General features: G+C 48.6%; 1 protein-coding gene across 29 annotated transcripts in view, besides 1 other annotated feature; it reads left to right on the forward strand.

Annotated features, from left to right (window-relative positions):
- MAPT (microtubule associated protein tau) overlaps positions 1-16,458 on the forward strand; it is a 133,781-nt gene that overhangs the window by 9,553 nt on the left and 107,770 nt on the right. The gene's annotated exons all lie outside the window — the stretch shown is intronic.
- Positions 1,921-2,420: an enhancer, noted in NCBI's record as "H3K4me1 hESC enhancer chr17:43983393-43983892 (GRCh37/hg19 assembly coordinates)". NCBI's record gives its function as "activates a minimal SCP1, AML or CMV promoter by ChIP-STARR-seq in primed H9 embryonic stem cells {active_cell/tissue: H9 hESC(primed)}" and the evidence as "EXISTENCE:reporter gene assay evidence [ECO:0000049][PMID:30033119]".

Genomic DNA, 16,458 nt, shown 5'->3' on the forward strand with positions numbered 1-16,458 from the left:
TATATATATTATATATTATATATTATATATGTATATATTATATATGTTATATATTATATATATTTATATATATAATATATTGTATATATTATATATCTAATATATTATATATATTATATATATTATATATTATAATATATATTATATATTATATATTATATATATTTTTATATATATAATATGTATAATATATAATATATATAAAAACATATATAATATATATTATATATTATATATATATTATATATATTATATATATTAAATATATTTTATATATATTATATATATATACACATATATATATATAAATGAGGCCAGGCTCGGTGGCTCACACTTGTAATCCCAGCACTGTGGGAGGATCACTTGAAGCCAGGAGTCTGAGACTAGCCTGGGCAACAAAACAAGATCCTGTCTCTACAAAAGGAAACTGTAAAAATTAGCTGGGCATGATGGCATGTGTCTGTAGCCCTAGCTACTTGGGAGGCCGAAGCAGGAGGATCGCTTGAGCCCAGGAGTTCAAGGCTACAGTGAGCTATGATTGTCCCATAGCACTCCAGCCTGGGTAACACAGCAAGGCCCTGTCTCTAAACTTTTTTTTTTTAATTCTATTTATATTTACATGTATTTAAATGTGAATATTCACTACCTATTTGTTGCATGCCTGCATTTTTTATACTGGGCTTGCCAAAAACCCGAACAGCTTTCTACTTTGACAATGTATCAGAATTTAAATCAGCAATATGTTAATAAGCCAAGCAAAGGTTATATATGCAAATAAAACTGTTGTCTATAACCTCCTGTTACACTGGGGCACAGCAAAAGTCATGGTGTAGTCGCATGTGAACCTGTCCCTTTCATAGCTGCTCATTGCCAGGAAACATCAGGAATAGCCATTTGGAAGAGTCATCAGCCCTCCCACCATCCGTTTTCTGTCTTGTCTTTTCCCTATGAGCAGGGGAAATTCCACGCTGGCCCCAATCCCCAGTGCAGCGGCTCAGCCTCTGCCTCTGCTGCTGGTCCCCATGAGGCCAGCTTAGAAACGGAGGATTTTGCAGAACATCCCTAAATCCGCTTGAATAATGAAGTGATCATTCATAAACTCACCTGAACCTTATTAAAACCTATTTAATATTTTTCCTGGATAATCCTATAGGGATAACTTGCCTCCTGGGCTTCTCTCCACCGGGTTCAGTTCTTCCTTTAGTGGTGAAGTTCCTCCCTTCTTAGCATCTCAACTGTGCCTGAGAAAAGGCCAGTGGCGGCTGCACTCTGTTCCCTGTGGAGTGTTAATAAAGACTGAATAAATTGAAATAAATCCCTTTCAATGTCATTAAGTGCTATAAATAATCATGAACCAATGTTCGATGGCTGATGAGAAATGCAAGAAAAAATTTTTAATCAGTAGGATTCATAAGTTGACAATCTGGGCCAAGTTAAAAAAAATAAAAATAAAAAGACTTTTAAAAAGATCTTATCGTTTGTTACCAGTAAGACTGAATTCCAGAAGCAAGCTACTCCCTCATTTGTGGGCCCCTGTTATCACTGGCTGCTTAGGGTTGCCAAGCCCTGAATTCATTTGTCAACTAAGAGATTTTTGGCCAAGATTAAGATTTCCCATGCCTCCATATTTCCATCTGAGAAATGGAGATTATACTGTCTTCCCCCTCAGAATGGATGATAATGTGGTCTCTCTTCTGTTCGCATAGTCATAGAACTGAAATAAAACAACTTAAGAGAATTCCTTTGAGCTTCTCAGAAGTGCTGCAGGGCTGGGGGATGCCTCCCAGGAGCCGCAGTCAGGTGCTGATCTGAAGTCTTTGGTGGGCTGACTTTAGCCTGACCTGAAATAGTATAGCTGCTGCCACCTGGCTCCCTTAGCGTCAGTCAGACGGTGCAGCTGGTTCCTAGGGGTGAGGGCTGAGCCAGCAGGGTCCGTGCCCAGGAGGGATGCATGGGTGGCCACAGCCCAGCCTGCACTGATCTTGTCTGTCCCCTTCTTTGGAAGGAAGGAGCCCCAAACCAGGGTGCAAGACAGTGGGTGGGGGTGCCTTGAGCATGACCTCAAGTGATTTCCAGCCCCTGCCAGTGCTGACTTCTCTGGGGAAGGGCTGGGACTTCCTTCTGGGCTCAAGTCACGACCCTTGGATGGAATTTCCTGGGAGCTTTTCTGTTTTTTCTGGAGTTTTCAGTTTTTTCCTAACCAGACAGGGACTTGGTACAGAATCTCATATTCTAATTATGCCTAGGAGCAGCCTCTCCCCACCACTCACAGTGTTTAGCATGTGACAGGAATCGATTAAGGCATGAGTGATTAAATTAAAGCCAGGCATTGACTTGGATGGTGTAATATTCTGACATCTGTTTGGTGTCAAAGGCACGGGGCAGGCGCGTTAATTGAACTGCTTGCACCTGGCATTTGAATTGAGCCAGAGCGGGGCTAAAGTCAGTTTGCCTTCACCCTGTAAATGGAGGGTTTCTCCGGAGCGTGGATGGTGGGAGGTATTTCAGGGTGTATGCATAACCCCCACCCTGACAATGGCCCATCTCTTCTCCAGCGTGGCCAGGTTTGAGTGCCAGTCCTGGGTGTCCAGTGGCCCCATAGCCTTGCGTTTTAGTAAAATGCTGCCCCCATTACCACCTGGTCTGTGCACTTCGGTCACTGGAATTTGCCATCTTCCAGTCCCGAATGTGGCAAGCCATGGAGCCTTAAGCTCTTCTCCCTCCACATCCTGGAACAGACCCGCCAGTTTCTTCCAGGCATTGCCTCAGTTTGCCCCTCTGTTTCCAGTCACACTCTCACCAGCGATAAAATGATTTTAGACCTTATCATCTCACCCTCGGATCCTTATGGAAACAATAATGAGTTGTTCCCTGTTTCAATTCCAAAATTCATATCCAATCCGTTTTGCATGCCATTGCCAAATTCCTCCCAGAGCAACCCCGTCACCTGCCCTGGCCCTCTCCAAGTGTGGTCCTGCCATGGGCATCGCCTGCTAAGCCAAGCTGGCCTCGAGCTGCCTGCCCGGGTCCCCACACCTTGGCTCACCTCCCTGCCCAGTCCCGCCTCCTGCCAGCCTGCCCTGTGGCTCCTTCATAGATGCCGTGCTCTTTCTGCCCCTTGCTCACCCATGGCAGCCTTGCCCCTCTCTCCCTGCCCCACCCCCTATTTAAATTGACCTGACCTTCCTCAGTGTCCATCTTCCCCGAAGCTTTCCCCAGCCTTGGCACTCAAGGTCCAGAGGCTACGCGTTTCCTCTCACCTGTGGCAGCGCCGTGCTCCCCAGTGCCTCACAGTTTCCTTCTTGCCCCCGCTTCCTGTGTAGGACTCATCTGCCCACAGGTTGCACGTCCTGTGAGGGCAAGGACTGTGTCTTATGTGACTTTCCTTCTCCAGTCACAGAGCTGGGCACATAGATAGCTCAAAACCCTCTTTATTAACACAGTTGGATGTTGAGAAATCAAACAGGCCAATGTCAAATGAGCTCTCCTTATTTAAATCAAGTCAGTTCTCCACCTCCTAGCACTCAGTTCCAGTACTCTATATACATGGAAATAATAAAAAACACATTTCCTTTGAAACATTCTATAATCGTTCCTTTGCCCTACTTCAGACCAACTTAACGCACTCCCCATTGGTCCAAATGAGTTTTGCTATACGAAGATGCTGATAATAATAGCAGCAGTGGATTATTCTGCTAAAACCATTGCCTCGTTAATCCTCAGTCCCGAGGTGGGGATTATTATCCTCATTTTGCAGAGAAGCAAACTGAGACTCAGAGATTTCACAGCTGGGGAGGGAGCCAGCTCATCCCTCTGTCCAGGCCCAAGCTCTCTCCCGCTTGCCTTCCTGCCTCTGCAACCTCAGAGCATCCCCCATCTGGTTCTACTGCCTGTGCTAGTCGTGCAGGAGCCAAAAGACACGTCTTTAGTGCTAAGGACTGGAGAAGCCATGCCCTCCAGCCTCTGTGAATGGGTCATATGTAACATGAGCCTGGAGAAATTATTTGAAACCAAAGGCAAGCCTCTAAACCAGGCTGCTGCTTCATGGCGCCGGTGACGGCAGAACCAAATTTAGTGCTGTGGGCAGGTCCACACTTATCAAATAGAGAAGCTCATTTTTCTTCCGGCTCACATCAAGCATGAAAAATGTTCACACATACCCCCCACACACACATGCTTTCCGGAGGGGTCCATGTGGCTAGAGGCTGGAAGATGTGGATGAGAGGAGCCTGGCAGGTAAGCCCAGGGAAGATGACATTCAGCTTCCCAGACAGCATCTACAGGGAGAAATTTAATTAAAAGTGGGGCGGTTTCCCTGAGCAAGGCAGACAAAGTCAGCCCTCTACTGTTAAGAAAAAGGGTCACAGTGAGAGGGGAGGTGAGGAGACTGAGTCTGTATTTTCTAGTCTGTTGGGCTACACTACCTGATCCCCCTTCCTCAAAAATCCACTTTACTTTCCCCATGTCTACACCAATGTGGTTCACACTCTGGGACCAGGAAAAGGGGGAGTGATGGGGAACAGAGAAGGGAGGAGCTCACACAGCTGAGGCTGGGGTTATGCATATCGAATTACTTAGAATTTGCAACCTCACAGGGTACTTTCATGGCGTTGAAATACACTTCCCACAGCCACCCTCCCTCTAACTAAAAGCAAGAGTCATTTCTCAGTTCTGGTCTTGCCTCCCACGTTCTCCTCCACATTTAAGAAAATCCACCAGCTACAAAGTGAAGATACCATATGTGATATCCCACCCTAGTTTCTGTTTTATCAGGGTTTGGAGCAGGTGGAGCAGGCAGAGGGATCATTTCAGCCTATAAATTGTATTAAGGGTGAGTACTGAGTCATTCTTCAAGAAAAGTTTTAGAAGCATCCAAAACTGAAGGGTGGAGCCACCTGGAGACAGTATCATCAGTCCTGGCCCCGAGCATGGCCTGCATAGGCCCCCATGGATCCCAGCGGGAGCTGCAGAGTGCGGGCACCTTGGCACACAGCCCTGAGTGCAAAATTAGGAGCTGGGCAGAGGGCATCTCTCTGTCGCCATTGGGCAGCCCAGGGCACACTGGTCATAGCCTTAGACCACGAACACCCTGTGCCCGGGGGACAGATGCAACCAGTGTGCCCTGGGCTGCCCAATGGCAACAGAGAGATCGACACCTGGACCCCATGTCACGGGGACTCCACTACTAAGGCTCCTAAGACTGCCACCTTCCAGTGGGATAAGCCCTGCCTCCTACTGGGCCCACAATGTGCAGAGAACACTTGGGACTACCTGGCTTTCTGGATACACAAATATTGATCCAATCTGGACTAATTAGAAGGTCAGTCCCAATAACAAATCGAAGTCAGCTGGGCGTGATGGCTCACTCCTATAATCCCAGCACTTTGGGAGGCTGAGGTGGGCAGATCATTTGAAGCCAGAAGTTCAAGACCAGCCTGGGCAACATAGCAAAACCCTGTCTCTACTAAAAATACAAATAATTAGGCTGGGTGTGGTGGCTCATGCCTGTAATCCCAACAGTTTGGGAGGCTGAGGCAGGTGGTCACCTGAGGTCAGGAGTTTGAGACCAGCCTGGCCAACAGGGTGAAACCCCGTGTCTACTAAAAACATAAAAATTAGCCAAGCATGATGGCATGTGCCTATAATCCTGGCTACTAGGGAGGCTGAGACAGGAGAGAATCGCTTGAATCCAGGAGGTGGTTGCAGTGAGCTGAGATGGTGCCACTGCACTCCAGCCTGGTTGACAGAGCAAGACTCTGTCTCAAAAAAAAAAAAAAAAAAAAAAAAGCCATGCCTGGTGGAGCACTACGTGTAATCTCAGCTATTTGGGAGGCTGAGGCACGAGAATCACTTGAACCTGGGAGGCAGTGGTTGCAGTGAGCTGAGATCGCGCCACTGCACTCCAGCCTGGGCGACAGAGTGAGTGAGACTCCATTTCAAAAAAATAATAAATCTGAGTCACTTTAATATTGTTATTTGGATGTCAACCTCTAGGTGTTTGAGACAGGAGAGTGATATGGGGGCACTGGAAACACACAGGCACGGGGTGTCCTCACACTTGGGTAGCCCACACGATGTGATTTCAGGGTGCTGGGAGGTCCCCCCACTCCCCAAATTACTAACAAGTGGATAGTACTTTACAGTTTATATGATCTCATTTGATTCTTAACATGAGCCTGTGAGTGAAAAATTCCTTCCCCTCTTCTACAGATTAGGACGTTGAGATTCAGGGAGGTTCAGAGGGATTCAGGGAAGTCAAGTGGCACCTGGAGTCCCGTGGCTAATTTGAGGCCGGTAGGGGATTCGAACCCAGGATTTGTGCTTCTTATGCCTGGGCTTCTGCTCCCTGGGGCATGGTCTTCCCCCTAGCTTTCCCATTCACTGCTTTAGCCTAGGGGTCCTACCCTTTATTAAACTGCCAGTGCCTCACTGCTTTTCTCCCCCAAAGACAAAAAAAAAGTGTTTTTGCTTTTGTTTTGTTTTTCATGGGCAGAGACCTGGAATTTCAGCTTGAGAATTTGTGCCATATGATAAATAAATCAACAGATGGCTTTTTCCTTAAAAAAAAAAAAAAAAAAAACTAAGATGTATTTGCAGTGAGGCATAATTTGTACCAAAAAGTGCTCACCACACTGTAGTCATGGGGGCAGGAGGCAGCCGCGGGTGAAGGGAGAAATCTTGGAGTCCAGGCAGCCCCCTTCTGGGCTGAACTGGGGAGCTGGGGGTGCTGCCAGCCCTGCCAGGTTCTCCTAGGAGGCGGCAGCTCATATGGCTGTGGGAGGAGGCAGAGGGAGCCTCATATGCACCCACATTTCCAGGGATCTAGAAGACAGAAGGAGGAAAACCACCATCATGTTAAAGCAGACAGTTAGGTAACACATCCTGTAATACAAGTTATTTTTTCCACATCTAAAGGCTAAAAATAGTTGTTAGAATTTAAAGATAATTGGTAAATGAGTTTCTATCCTTCTAGTTTCACATCAAATGGAATCATGCTGCCTTCACATCACTAGTGCCCGTTATTTGTGTTTAATTTCCACAATGTTGTCTAATTCCACTCTTTGGGCTTCCCCAGGGATCCAGCCTCCCTCACTCGCCCATCGCAGGGAGATGCTTTATTCATCTTTGTGTCTTCTGTGCCGGGCATAGCGCATGGCACAGAATAAGCACTCAGTAATTGATTCACGAGTGAATAAATGGATGAGTGGGTGAGTTCAATATTGACTACAAAAACCCTAAGGCCACACTGGTGAGTGGCTGCGCCTGTAGTCCCAGCTGCTGGGGAATCTGAGGCAGGAGGATCTCTTGAGCCCAGGAGTTTGAAACTAGCCTGGGCGATATAGCGAGAACCTGTCTCAAATGACAAAAACAGGGCCAGGTGCAGTGGCTCACGCCTGGAATCCCAGCACTTTAGGAGGCCAAGATGGGAGGATCACTTGAGGCCAGGAGTCCGAGACCAGCCTGGGCAACATAGGGAGACCCTGTCTCTACAAAAAATTTTTTAAAAATTAGCTGGGCATGGCGGTGTGCGCTTGTAGTCCCAGCTACTCAGGAGGCTGAGGCAGGAGGATCACTTGAGCCCAGGAAATTGAGGCTGCAGCGAGCCATGATGGCACCACTGCACTGCAGCCTGGGCGTCAGAACGAGACCTGCTCTCAAAAAAACAAACAAACAACAAAAAAAAAGGCTTTCTTAAAGAGACTTGAGAACAGAAAGGGGAACAGATACATAACTTATATATTTATTTGTTCATCTTTCCACCTTCCTGGAGGGTGGAGGGGAACAGGTCTGTATTTGGAGTTTTGAATGCTAAAAGTGGGAATACATGTACTGTTTGCCATGATCTGTTCAAAAGTTAAGCCAAATGCCTTAGATTCTCCTGAAAACTGGAATGCCACTGTAAACTATAAGCCCCACTTCAAAGATAAAAGATCTTGATGAACAGGGCTGGGTCTGTGGACTGGGCCTCTCCCCACCACACAAGGAAGGGTGGTGCCAGTTGAAGGAAAATCACTTAAATCCTTGCTGTCTCCTAATAAGGTGTGGTCCCAGGTAGGGCTGTCAGAATTAGCAAATTAAAACACAGGGCATCTGTGAAAATTAGAATTTCAGATAACAACAAATAATTGGCATAGGCTGCATAATGTCCCTCAAAGATATCAGGTCCTAATCTCCAGAACCTGTAAATGTGATCTTATTTGGAAAAGGGGTCTTTGTAGATGTGGTTAAATTAAGGATTTTGAGATGGGGGGATTATCCTGTATTATCTAGGTAGGTCCTAAATGCAGTCACACTCATCCTTGTAAGAGGAAGGAAGAGAGAGATGGAAAACACAGAAGAGAAGACAATGTGGTGATGGAGGCAGAGATTGGAGTGAGGTGGCCACAAGCCAAGGACTGCTGGCAGCTACCAGCAGCCAGAAAAGTCCAGGAACCAATTCTCTCTTGGAGCTCCAGAGGGAGTGTGGCCCTGCTGACACCTTAGCTTCAACCTAGTGATCCTGATTTTGGACTTTGGCCTTCAGAAGTGTGAGGGAATGAATATCTGTTGTTTTAAGCCACCAAGTTTATGGTCATTTCCTACAGCAGCCACAGGAATCAAAAACAGTAAGTATGTCCCATGCAATGTTTGTGACACACACCAAAAATATTACTTGTTGTTCACCTGAAATTCAAATTTAACTGGGTCTCCTGTATTTTATTTGGCCAACCTAGTTCCCAGGCCCAAAGAAAGAGGCTTTTGAAATTTGCAAGAAAGCTGGTTGGAGCTGTCAGAAAGTGGACTTTGTAAACACAGTACCACCGAACCAATTTGAACTGTACTACCTCTAGACAAAAGAGAGGGCAGTCAGACAGTTGTTCGTGATTTCTTCTTTCAACAGTCATTTGAGCACTTACTACAAAACAGAAGCTATGTGTAAGGGTGGAGGCGTTAGCTGTTAATCAGGACCTCCAGGCTAAGTTTCTGTATTAGTCCGTTTTCACGCTGCTGATAAAGACATACCCGAGACTGGGGAATTTACAAAAGAAAGAGGTTTAATTGGACTTACAGTTCCAAGTGGCTGGGGAAGCCTCACAATCATGGCAGAAGGCAAGGAGGAGCAAGCCACATCTTACATGGATGGCAGCAGACAGACAGGGAGAGAGAGCTTGTGCAGGGGAACTCCTCTTTTTAAAACCATCAGATCTCGTTAGACTTATTCACTATCAAGAGAACAGCACAGAAAAGACCTGCCCCCATGATTCAGTTACTTCCCACCAGATCCCTCCCACAACATGTGGGAATTCAAGATGAGATTTGTTACCATATCAGTTACCAACCCTTCCAGATAAATCACGTGAAATATCGCCATTAACAGAGTGAGCTCAGGTGGTTCTTCAGTGCATTTCTGATACCTGAACCTTCCCTGGGAATTTCACAGACCATCAGGCTCTCCACCCTTTGATAGCAGGATAGCAGGGCCCAGGTTCTGCAGGAGGAGATGTTACCACAGGCCTGAAAGGGAGGGAGGGGCAGATGCTACAGGAAGATGCTGGCTCTGGATTCGCTGGAGGAGCTTTCAAGGGAAGTAGATACACACTGTCTCCATCATTTCATGTCCATCACACTCTAAAATGCTTTGGACAAGAAGCAAATGTTAAAGACAAATGTGGCCCATTTTCCTGTACAAAGAGGGCTGCTCCCATGCCAGGCTATTGGCACTGGTGGGCATGAGGCTTCTCTGCTGCCCTGGCCGGGGGGTTCTCTCACTCACCATTGGCTCTCTGACACCTGGAGAGACCACCACCCTTGGGCTTTCATGATGCTCACAGAATCCACACTGTTGGAGCTTTAAGGAGCCTGGATCAACTGGAACAGGCAGGGAGTACTAGGACAGCCCAGCATTGCCCCAAAATATCCAGGCCTGATAAAAGAGAAAAACAGGTAGCTCACAGGAAAAGGATAAAAAAAGGAGGAGGGATTTAACATGAAAAGGTGCTTGATCTCCCTCATAATAAAAAGACTGCTGATTCCATCCAGGCAAGTGACAGAAAAAAAAAAATTAATTTAAAAAGACTGCTGATAAAACCACAGCGAGACACTGCTGCTCAGGGATCTGAGGGTGTGGGCAGCCAGGCTGCCACGCATCATGGGTCGGAGAGGAAGACCACACCCCTGGAGCAGAGGGCGGCTGATCTGTCAGATGCCCTTTGACAGCACCTCAGCTTCCAAGAATTAACCCTTTCTATGTGAGCAGAGGCATCCATGGGGGGACACACTGGTGAATCATCTGTTATGTAGAAGTCTGGAAAACATCAGGATGGAACTGGTGAAATAAGTGTGGCCTCTGACGGAATGGAGCGGTCCGTCTGCACTGCTGCGGGTGCCCCTCAGATCCTGTGGGTCAGTGAGAAAAGCAGTGAGGAACAAGGCAGGTACTGTGTACTGTCCTCTGCGTGCAAGGAAGGCCAGCGCATGCAACAGAGTCCACACAGACATAGCCTAACTCTGGAAGGAAGAATGAGAATGCAGTTTCAGTGGTGGCCTCTGGTGGGGAGAAACTGGGTGAAGGGAGATGTCATTTCCATTTCTCTACTATTAATTTTGTATTACCATGCTTAAATGTTACTTTTTACCTTTTTTTTTTTTTTTGAGACAGGGTCTCTCTCTGTTGCCCAGGCAGGAGTGCAGTGGTACAATCATGGTTCACTGCAGCCTGAACCTCCCAGGCTCAAGCAATCCTCCCACCTCAGCCTCCTGAGTAGCTGGGACTATAGGCACGCATACCACCGTGCCCAGCTATTTTTTTTAATCAAGATGGAGTTTTTCTATGTTGCCCAGGCTGGTCTCAAGCTCCTGGACTCAAGCAATCCTCCTGCCTCAGCCTCCCAAAGGGCTGAGATTAAAACGTGAGTCACCCTGCCCAGCCAATTGCTTTTTAAAAAAGATTAAATGCATGTATACGCTCAGGCATCAGCACACTTGGAAAGGATGAAAATATCCGGAAGAAGGGTTCTTTTAAAAGGCTCCTCAAGTGATGCTGGCAGGCATGACGAATGTCCCTGGTCACAAAAGCTCTGATCTGGCCTAACCCTGTCATGTTAGAGACTGGAGTGCGTGTGTGTGCGCGCAAAGTGTGGGGGGATGGGGGTGAGTGTGTGTGGTGTGTAAGCATGAGTGTGTATGTGTGTGGTGTGGGGGTGTGTGCTGTGTGAGCGTGTGTGAGTCTGTGTGTGTAGTGTGTGTGTGAAGTATGTGGTGTGTATGTGTGACGTGAGGTGTGTGTGGTGTGTGAGTTGTGTATGGTGTGTGCATGAGCATGTGTGTGGGCATGTGATGTGTGTGTGGTGTGTAAGCATGTGTGAGTGTGTATGTTTGAGCATGTGTGGTGTGTTGTGATATGTGTGTGGTGTGTGAGCATGTGTGTGTGATGTGTCTGTGTGTGGTGTGTGTGAGCATGTGTGTTGTGTGTGTGGTGCATGTGTGTGGCGTGTGAGCGTGTGTGTGCATTGTGTCTGTGAGCATGTGTGAGTGTGTGTGTGTTCAGCATATATAAGGCATGTAACTGAACACAGCACTTTAGAGGGCTCTCCTGGAGTCAGAGGGGGTGGGTAGGAGGAGAAGGGAGGTGGGCTAGTGTGCTGAAGTATCTACTCCTTGTCATAGTCTGTGACAACCCAGACTAGCCCATGAGCCACCCTGTTCCCTGCATTTCCAATGAGACCTCGGTGGACATGTTCCCTGAGGTGAGGCTGACTGATGTCATTTGACGATCTTGATGCCAAATCCTTTTATATCAAAAACAACCAGAACACTCTCTTTTCTCTTAGTGCTTTCACCCAGATGACCACATTTCATCCTCCCAGCCACTCTGGGCCAGGTGGCACTGCTGGTTTGAAAGGGAGGTCTCCCCTGGAGTAACTTCCGTGGGCGGATTCACACCCTGCCCACAGTCCTGTCCCAGTCAGCCCACCATGGTGGTCTCCGGTTCCTCCAGAATTCCCGCTTTTCAGCTCATCCCCACATTCCCGGAGGGACTGAGAGCGCAGCCCCAGGGCCCTGCTCTTTGGGGGCCGTCTCTACACCCAGAGAAGCAGCAAGGCATTCCTAGGTTTCTCTTTCAGATGCAGAACTTCAGTGTTCAGAGATGTTCCCACTGGTCCTGAGAGGGCTCAGTTCAGCTTTAATGACTGCGCTGTTGCGTGTGCTCTGCAGAGGGCGGGTGGCCCAGCGTGGCTGACTGCAGTTTTCCTGACGTGGAGCCCGAGCCTGCCCCGCTGTTTATTAATTAAGGATCACTCTGCTTGCAGAACCCTGAACTCCCCAGAACTGTGAGGTGGGAGAACCCCGAGAGGCCACCTGGCCCCACTTCCCACCTGCTGCCCAAACCCCCTCTCTGCCTTCCTGACAGTCACCCCAACTCCCAGTGATCCCCATCAACCATCTGACAAGGGGACTGAGAGGGAAGAGAAAGGAGGGGCCCAAAGAGGAAGGTAAAACTGTCGGGAACAGCCCCCAAATGTGTGACAGCCTTCAGTGGAGTTGCCCACTTTCCCTTTTCTCCTCCCTGCAGGACCTCCCTTCTCCCCAGTCCTCCCCAACTTCTGAGGTTACATTGAGAAAAGTCTGCAGAGAGGTGCCAGCATCACAAGGTGTTAAGGACCACGAGTTTGGCATTTTAACAGATGCCAGAGCCACTTGAGAAATGTGGTAACTAAGCCCAGAGAGGTACAGTTAACCTCCCCAGAGTCACACAGCAGGTTCATGGCAAAGCTGGACTAGCACAGGTGTCCTTCCCCTGCAGATCCCCTTCTGTGCCCCACATCACCTCCCTCCAGTGTCTGGGCCACCTGGAGATGGGCCCTCAGACTCACCCGGCCAGAGGTGCCATCTCATGGGAGAGGTCTGGCCAGGAAGCATCGATATTTGAGATCCCAAGAAATGAAGACTTGGCCTGTCAGATGACAGACTTCGGTCATGGGAACACGTGATCTGTTTTACACATGCGTCCCCTCAGCAGCAGCTTTCCAGAACATTCCCACTTTCTTCTGTAGTGAGAAGAACTCTTTCCCTGCAGCCTCCTGCCCAACTCCTCCTTCAGTGTCTTTGCTTCAGTGTCTTTGATAAACCATTCTGCTTTGCAGAGTGCGAGCTCTGCCTTGCAGGGTTCGCATCTGCCTGTGCTGAGTAACCAACGCTAAGGTCGAGTGGTCGGTCACCTCTCATAAGAGCTAGGGTTGTCTCATGCTGATGACTAGGACTTGCCCTCAAGGAGAAAAATAAATCAAAACAAAAGCAAAAACAGCAAACATGCATCTCTTAAAGAAGGCTCTGAGTCCAGGTAAATTTCCTTCCACTGAAGCAGCCAGGCTGAATTCGAATTATCTTTGCCCCTGCTTAAAAACTAATGCAAATTTTCCTAGAGAATATCCACTAATTCCTGGAGGGGGCATGGGCATTCCTGATGCCCATGAGAGGACCATTTGCTCTTCCCTCAGTATGCTAAATAACAGAAGCGACATTTGTTGCTGGAAAGTATCAGTGAAGTTAATAAGGTTTTTCTTGCCCAGGGTGAGGGAACAGTTCCCAATGACAAATGCTGTATGGGAAGGGGCTGTAGAACTGCCAGCCCCTTTGGTCCATCCGTAAAGTGAACTCTGTGGATCCTGGAGGATTCCAGCGTCTTTTTTTTTTTTTCTTTTTTTTTAAGACAGAGCCTTGCTGTCACCCAGGCTGGAGTGCAGTGGCACGATCTCAGTTCACTGCAACCTCCGCCTCCCGGGTTCAAGCGATTCTCATGTCTCGGCCTCCCGAGCAGCAAGACTACAGGTGCGCACCACCATGCCCGACTAATTTTTGTATTATTAGTAGAGACGGGGGTTTCACTCTGTTGGCCAGGCTGGTCTCAAACTCCTGACCTCAGGTGATCCACCCGCCTCAGCCTCCCAAAGTGCTGGGATTACAGGCATGAGCCACCATGCCCAGCCAGCATCTTTCATTTTTCTGTCTGCTTTGGCCCTTTCCTCTCTCACTGTCTTCCTTTTCCATTTCCAAAGTCAGTCCATCTCACTATTAGCACAAAAACTGCTAGAGCGCTTGTCATTGGTCATCTCTCCCTGCACCTGGCTGGTCTGTTCTTGGCCACTGAAGCGTTTCCCCCAGCTGTTGCTTTAATCATTTTATTGTTATTATGCCTTACTTAAGAAATGGATATGAGATGCATTTACCTGTCTCTTCCTGCCACTCTGCAGAGCCAGTAAGATGTGGTGGAAAGGGCCCAGGCTTTGGAGGAGGGCTGGCTGGGGTTGGATCTTGGCTGCCCCCTACTAGCTGTGTGACCTTGGGTAAGTAGCTGGACCTCTCTGAGCCTGGTTCGGAATCATAGCACCTCTCTTTCAGGGCTGCTGTAAGGAATAGCAGTGGTGTGTATAAAGCAGAGCGCACAGCCAGCAACTGGCCCCTAGCCACACTGCTGAGCACCTACTGTGATAAGCTGCCATTGTGGTGTGTGAAGCAAAGGGGAAACATGCCTGCTGTAGTGAGCTTCCTGTAGGGCAGGTTGTAGAACCAGAGGTGGGTTCCAAGGTTACAAAGGGACTCTTAGTGTATTAGTCTGTTCTCACATTACTATAAAGACCTACCTGAGACTGGATCATTTATAAAGAAAAGAGGTTTAATTGGCTCACATTGGCTGGGTGCGGTGGCTCACGCCTGTAATCCCAGCATTTTGGGAGGCCAAGGCCGGCGGATCACTTGAGGTCAGGAATTTGAGACCAGCCTGGCCAACATGGTGAAACCCTGTCTCTTCTAAAATAAAATACAAAAATTAGCTGGCCATGGTGGTGTGCGCCTGGAATCCCAGCTACTCAGGAGGCTGAGGTGGAAGAATTGCTTGAGCCCGGGAGGTGGAGGTTGCAGTGAGCCAAGATCGCCCCACTGCACTCTAGCCTGGGCAGCAGACTGAGACTCTGTCTCAATAAAAAAAAAAAAAAAGAAAAGAAAAAGAATTGCAAGAAATAAATTATTGTTTATGAGCTATATGGTCTGTGGTACCTTGTTGTGGGACTGGGAGTCTTGGCGTCTCCCTGACCCTGCCTGTTGCTGCAGCACCGCTCAGCCCTGCCTGCTCCCTACCTGCCTCCCCTCGGCCTCTCCTGCCTCCACCGGGCCCCTGGTGCCTCCTCTAGAGACAGTCCTCCTGGGACCGATTGTGTTCTCACTTACACGAGGCATCCAGGACTACAGATAACCAGAGGAAGGGGCGCCCCCCCCGCCTGCCCTCCTCCCTGGCATCCTCACGCTGCAGAGGTCAGAGCCTCATCCCAGCCCCTTACCTGCCCCTACTCTGTGGAGAACCGTGGTCAGTTCGCCAGGCCGGATCCACGAACGGCCTTGTGGAAGATGGTGAGCTCACACCCAGAGCTGGCTCCGATGACCCTGTCTCCTTTACATGTTTCTACCTTCCCCTCCCTACCTTCCCCCACTGCTGGGCGCAGAGTGGAGGCAGATGAGGTTTAAAGCTCAGAAGGGCTTAAACGGGTTGGGGCGCAGTGGCTCATGCCTGTAATCCCGGCACTTTGGGAGGCCAAGGCAGAGGATCACTTGAGCCCAGGAGTTCGAGACCAACCTGAGCAACATAGTGAGACCGCGTCTCTACAAAAAATAAAATAAATAAAATTAGCTTTGCAGGGTGGCATGCACCTGCAGTCCCTGCTACTCAGAAGGCTGAGGTGGGAGGATCGCTTGTGCCCAGGAGTTTGAGGCTGCAGTGAGCTATGCTGGCACCACAGCACTCCAGCCTGAGTAACAGAATGAGATCCTGTCTCAAAACAAACAAACAAACAAACAAAAGAAGGCTTAAAGGGGGCTCCAGGTGGGCTTGGCAGCACAAAGCTATGAAGTTCTATCTTAGACACAAGTTCTGTTACTGGGCCTTTGCAGGCTGGCCTGGGTACCTGGCTGCCATAGACAGGGAACCTTCCAGATGAGCTGCAGGCGTGGAGCACAGGAGCCAGGGTGCTCTTCCTGGGCTCTGTCCACAGGCAGAACGTACACAGTCTTTGTACACGTCCGGCGGCTCTGGTGCCTATTTTTGTTTGTGTTTTTCTTTTGTTTGGGGGGATGGATTTGGTTTCCCCCGAGCCCTCTGTCCTCCTGTCACCTGGCTGGTGCTCGGCAATGTTGACCAGCTGCCTGGCTGGAGTTGGCAGTGGCTAAGGCTGTGACAGCTAACATGTTCCTGAGTCCTCTCATTTCTTCACCATAATGCCCTGTTGAGTTTGCAGATACTGTCTCTGTTTTTATCTCCCGGGGAAACTGAGGCTCAGAGTGGCTAGGCCACCTTCCCATGGTCCCTCAGCTCATGAGGGCCACACAGGGCATTGCGGTGGCCTTCTCCTCAGCCTTGACCCTCCGGCCCCAGCATTGCTGCCTCAAGGGGTCTCCTCTGCTGAGCCGTGCACCTTCTGCCTGGCAGCT

The sequence above is a fragment of the Homo sapiens genome, chromosome 17 (genome assembly GCF_000001405.40).
Source record: "Homo sapiens chromosome 17, GRCh38.p14 Primary Assembly".
Taxonomy (NCBI): domain Eukaryota; kingdom Metazoa; phylum Chordata; class Mammalia; order Primates; family Hominidae; genus Homo; species Homo sapiens.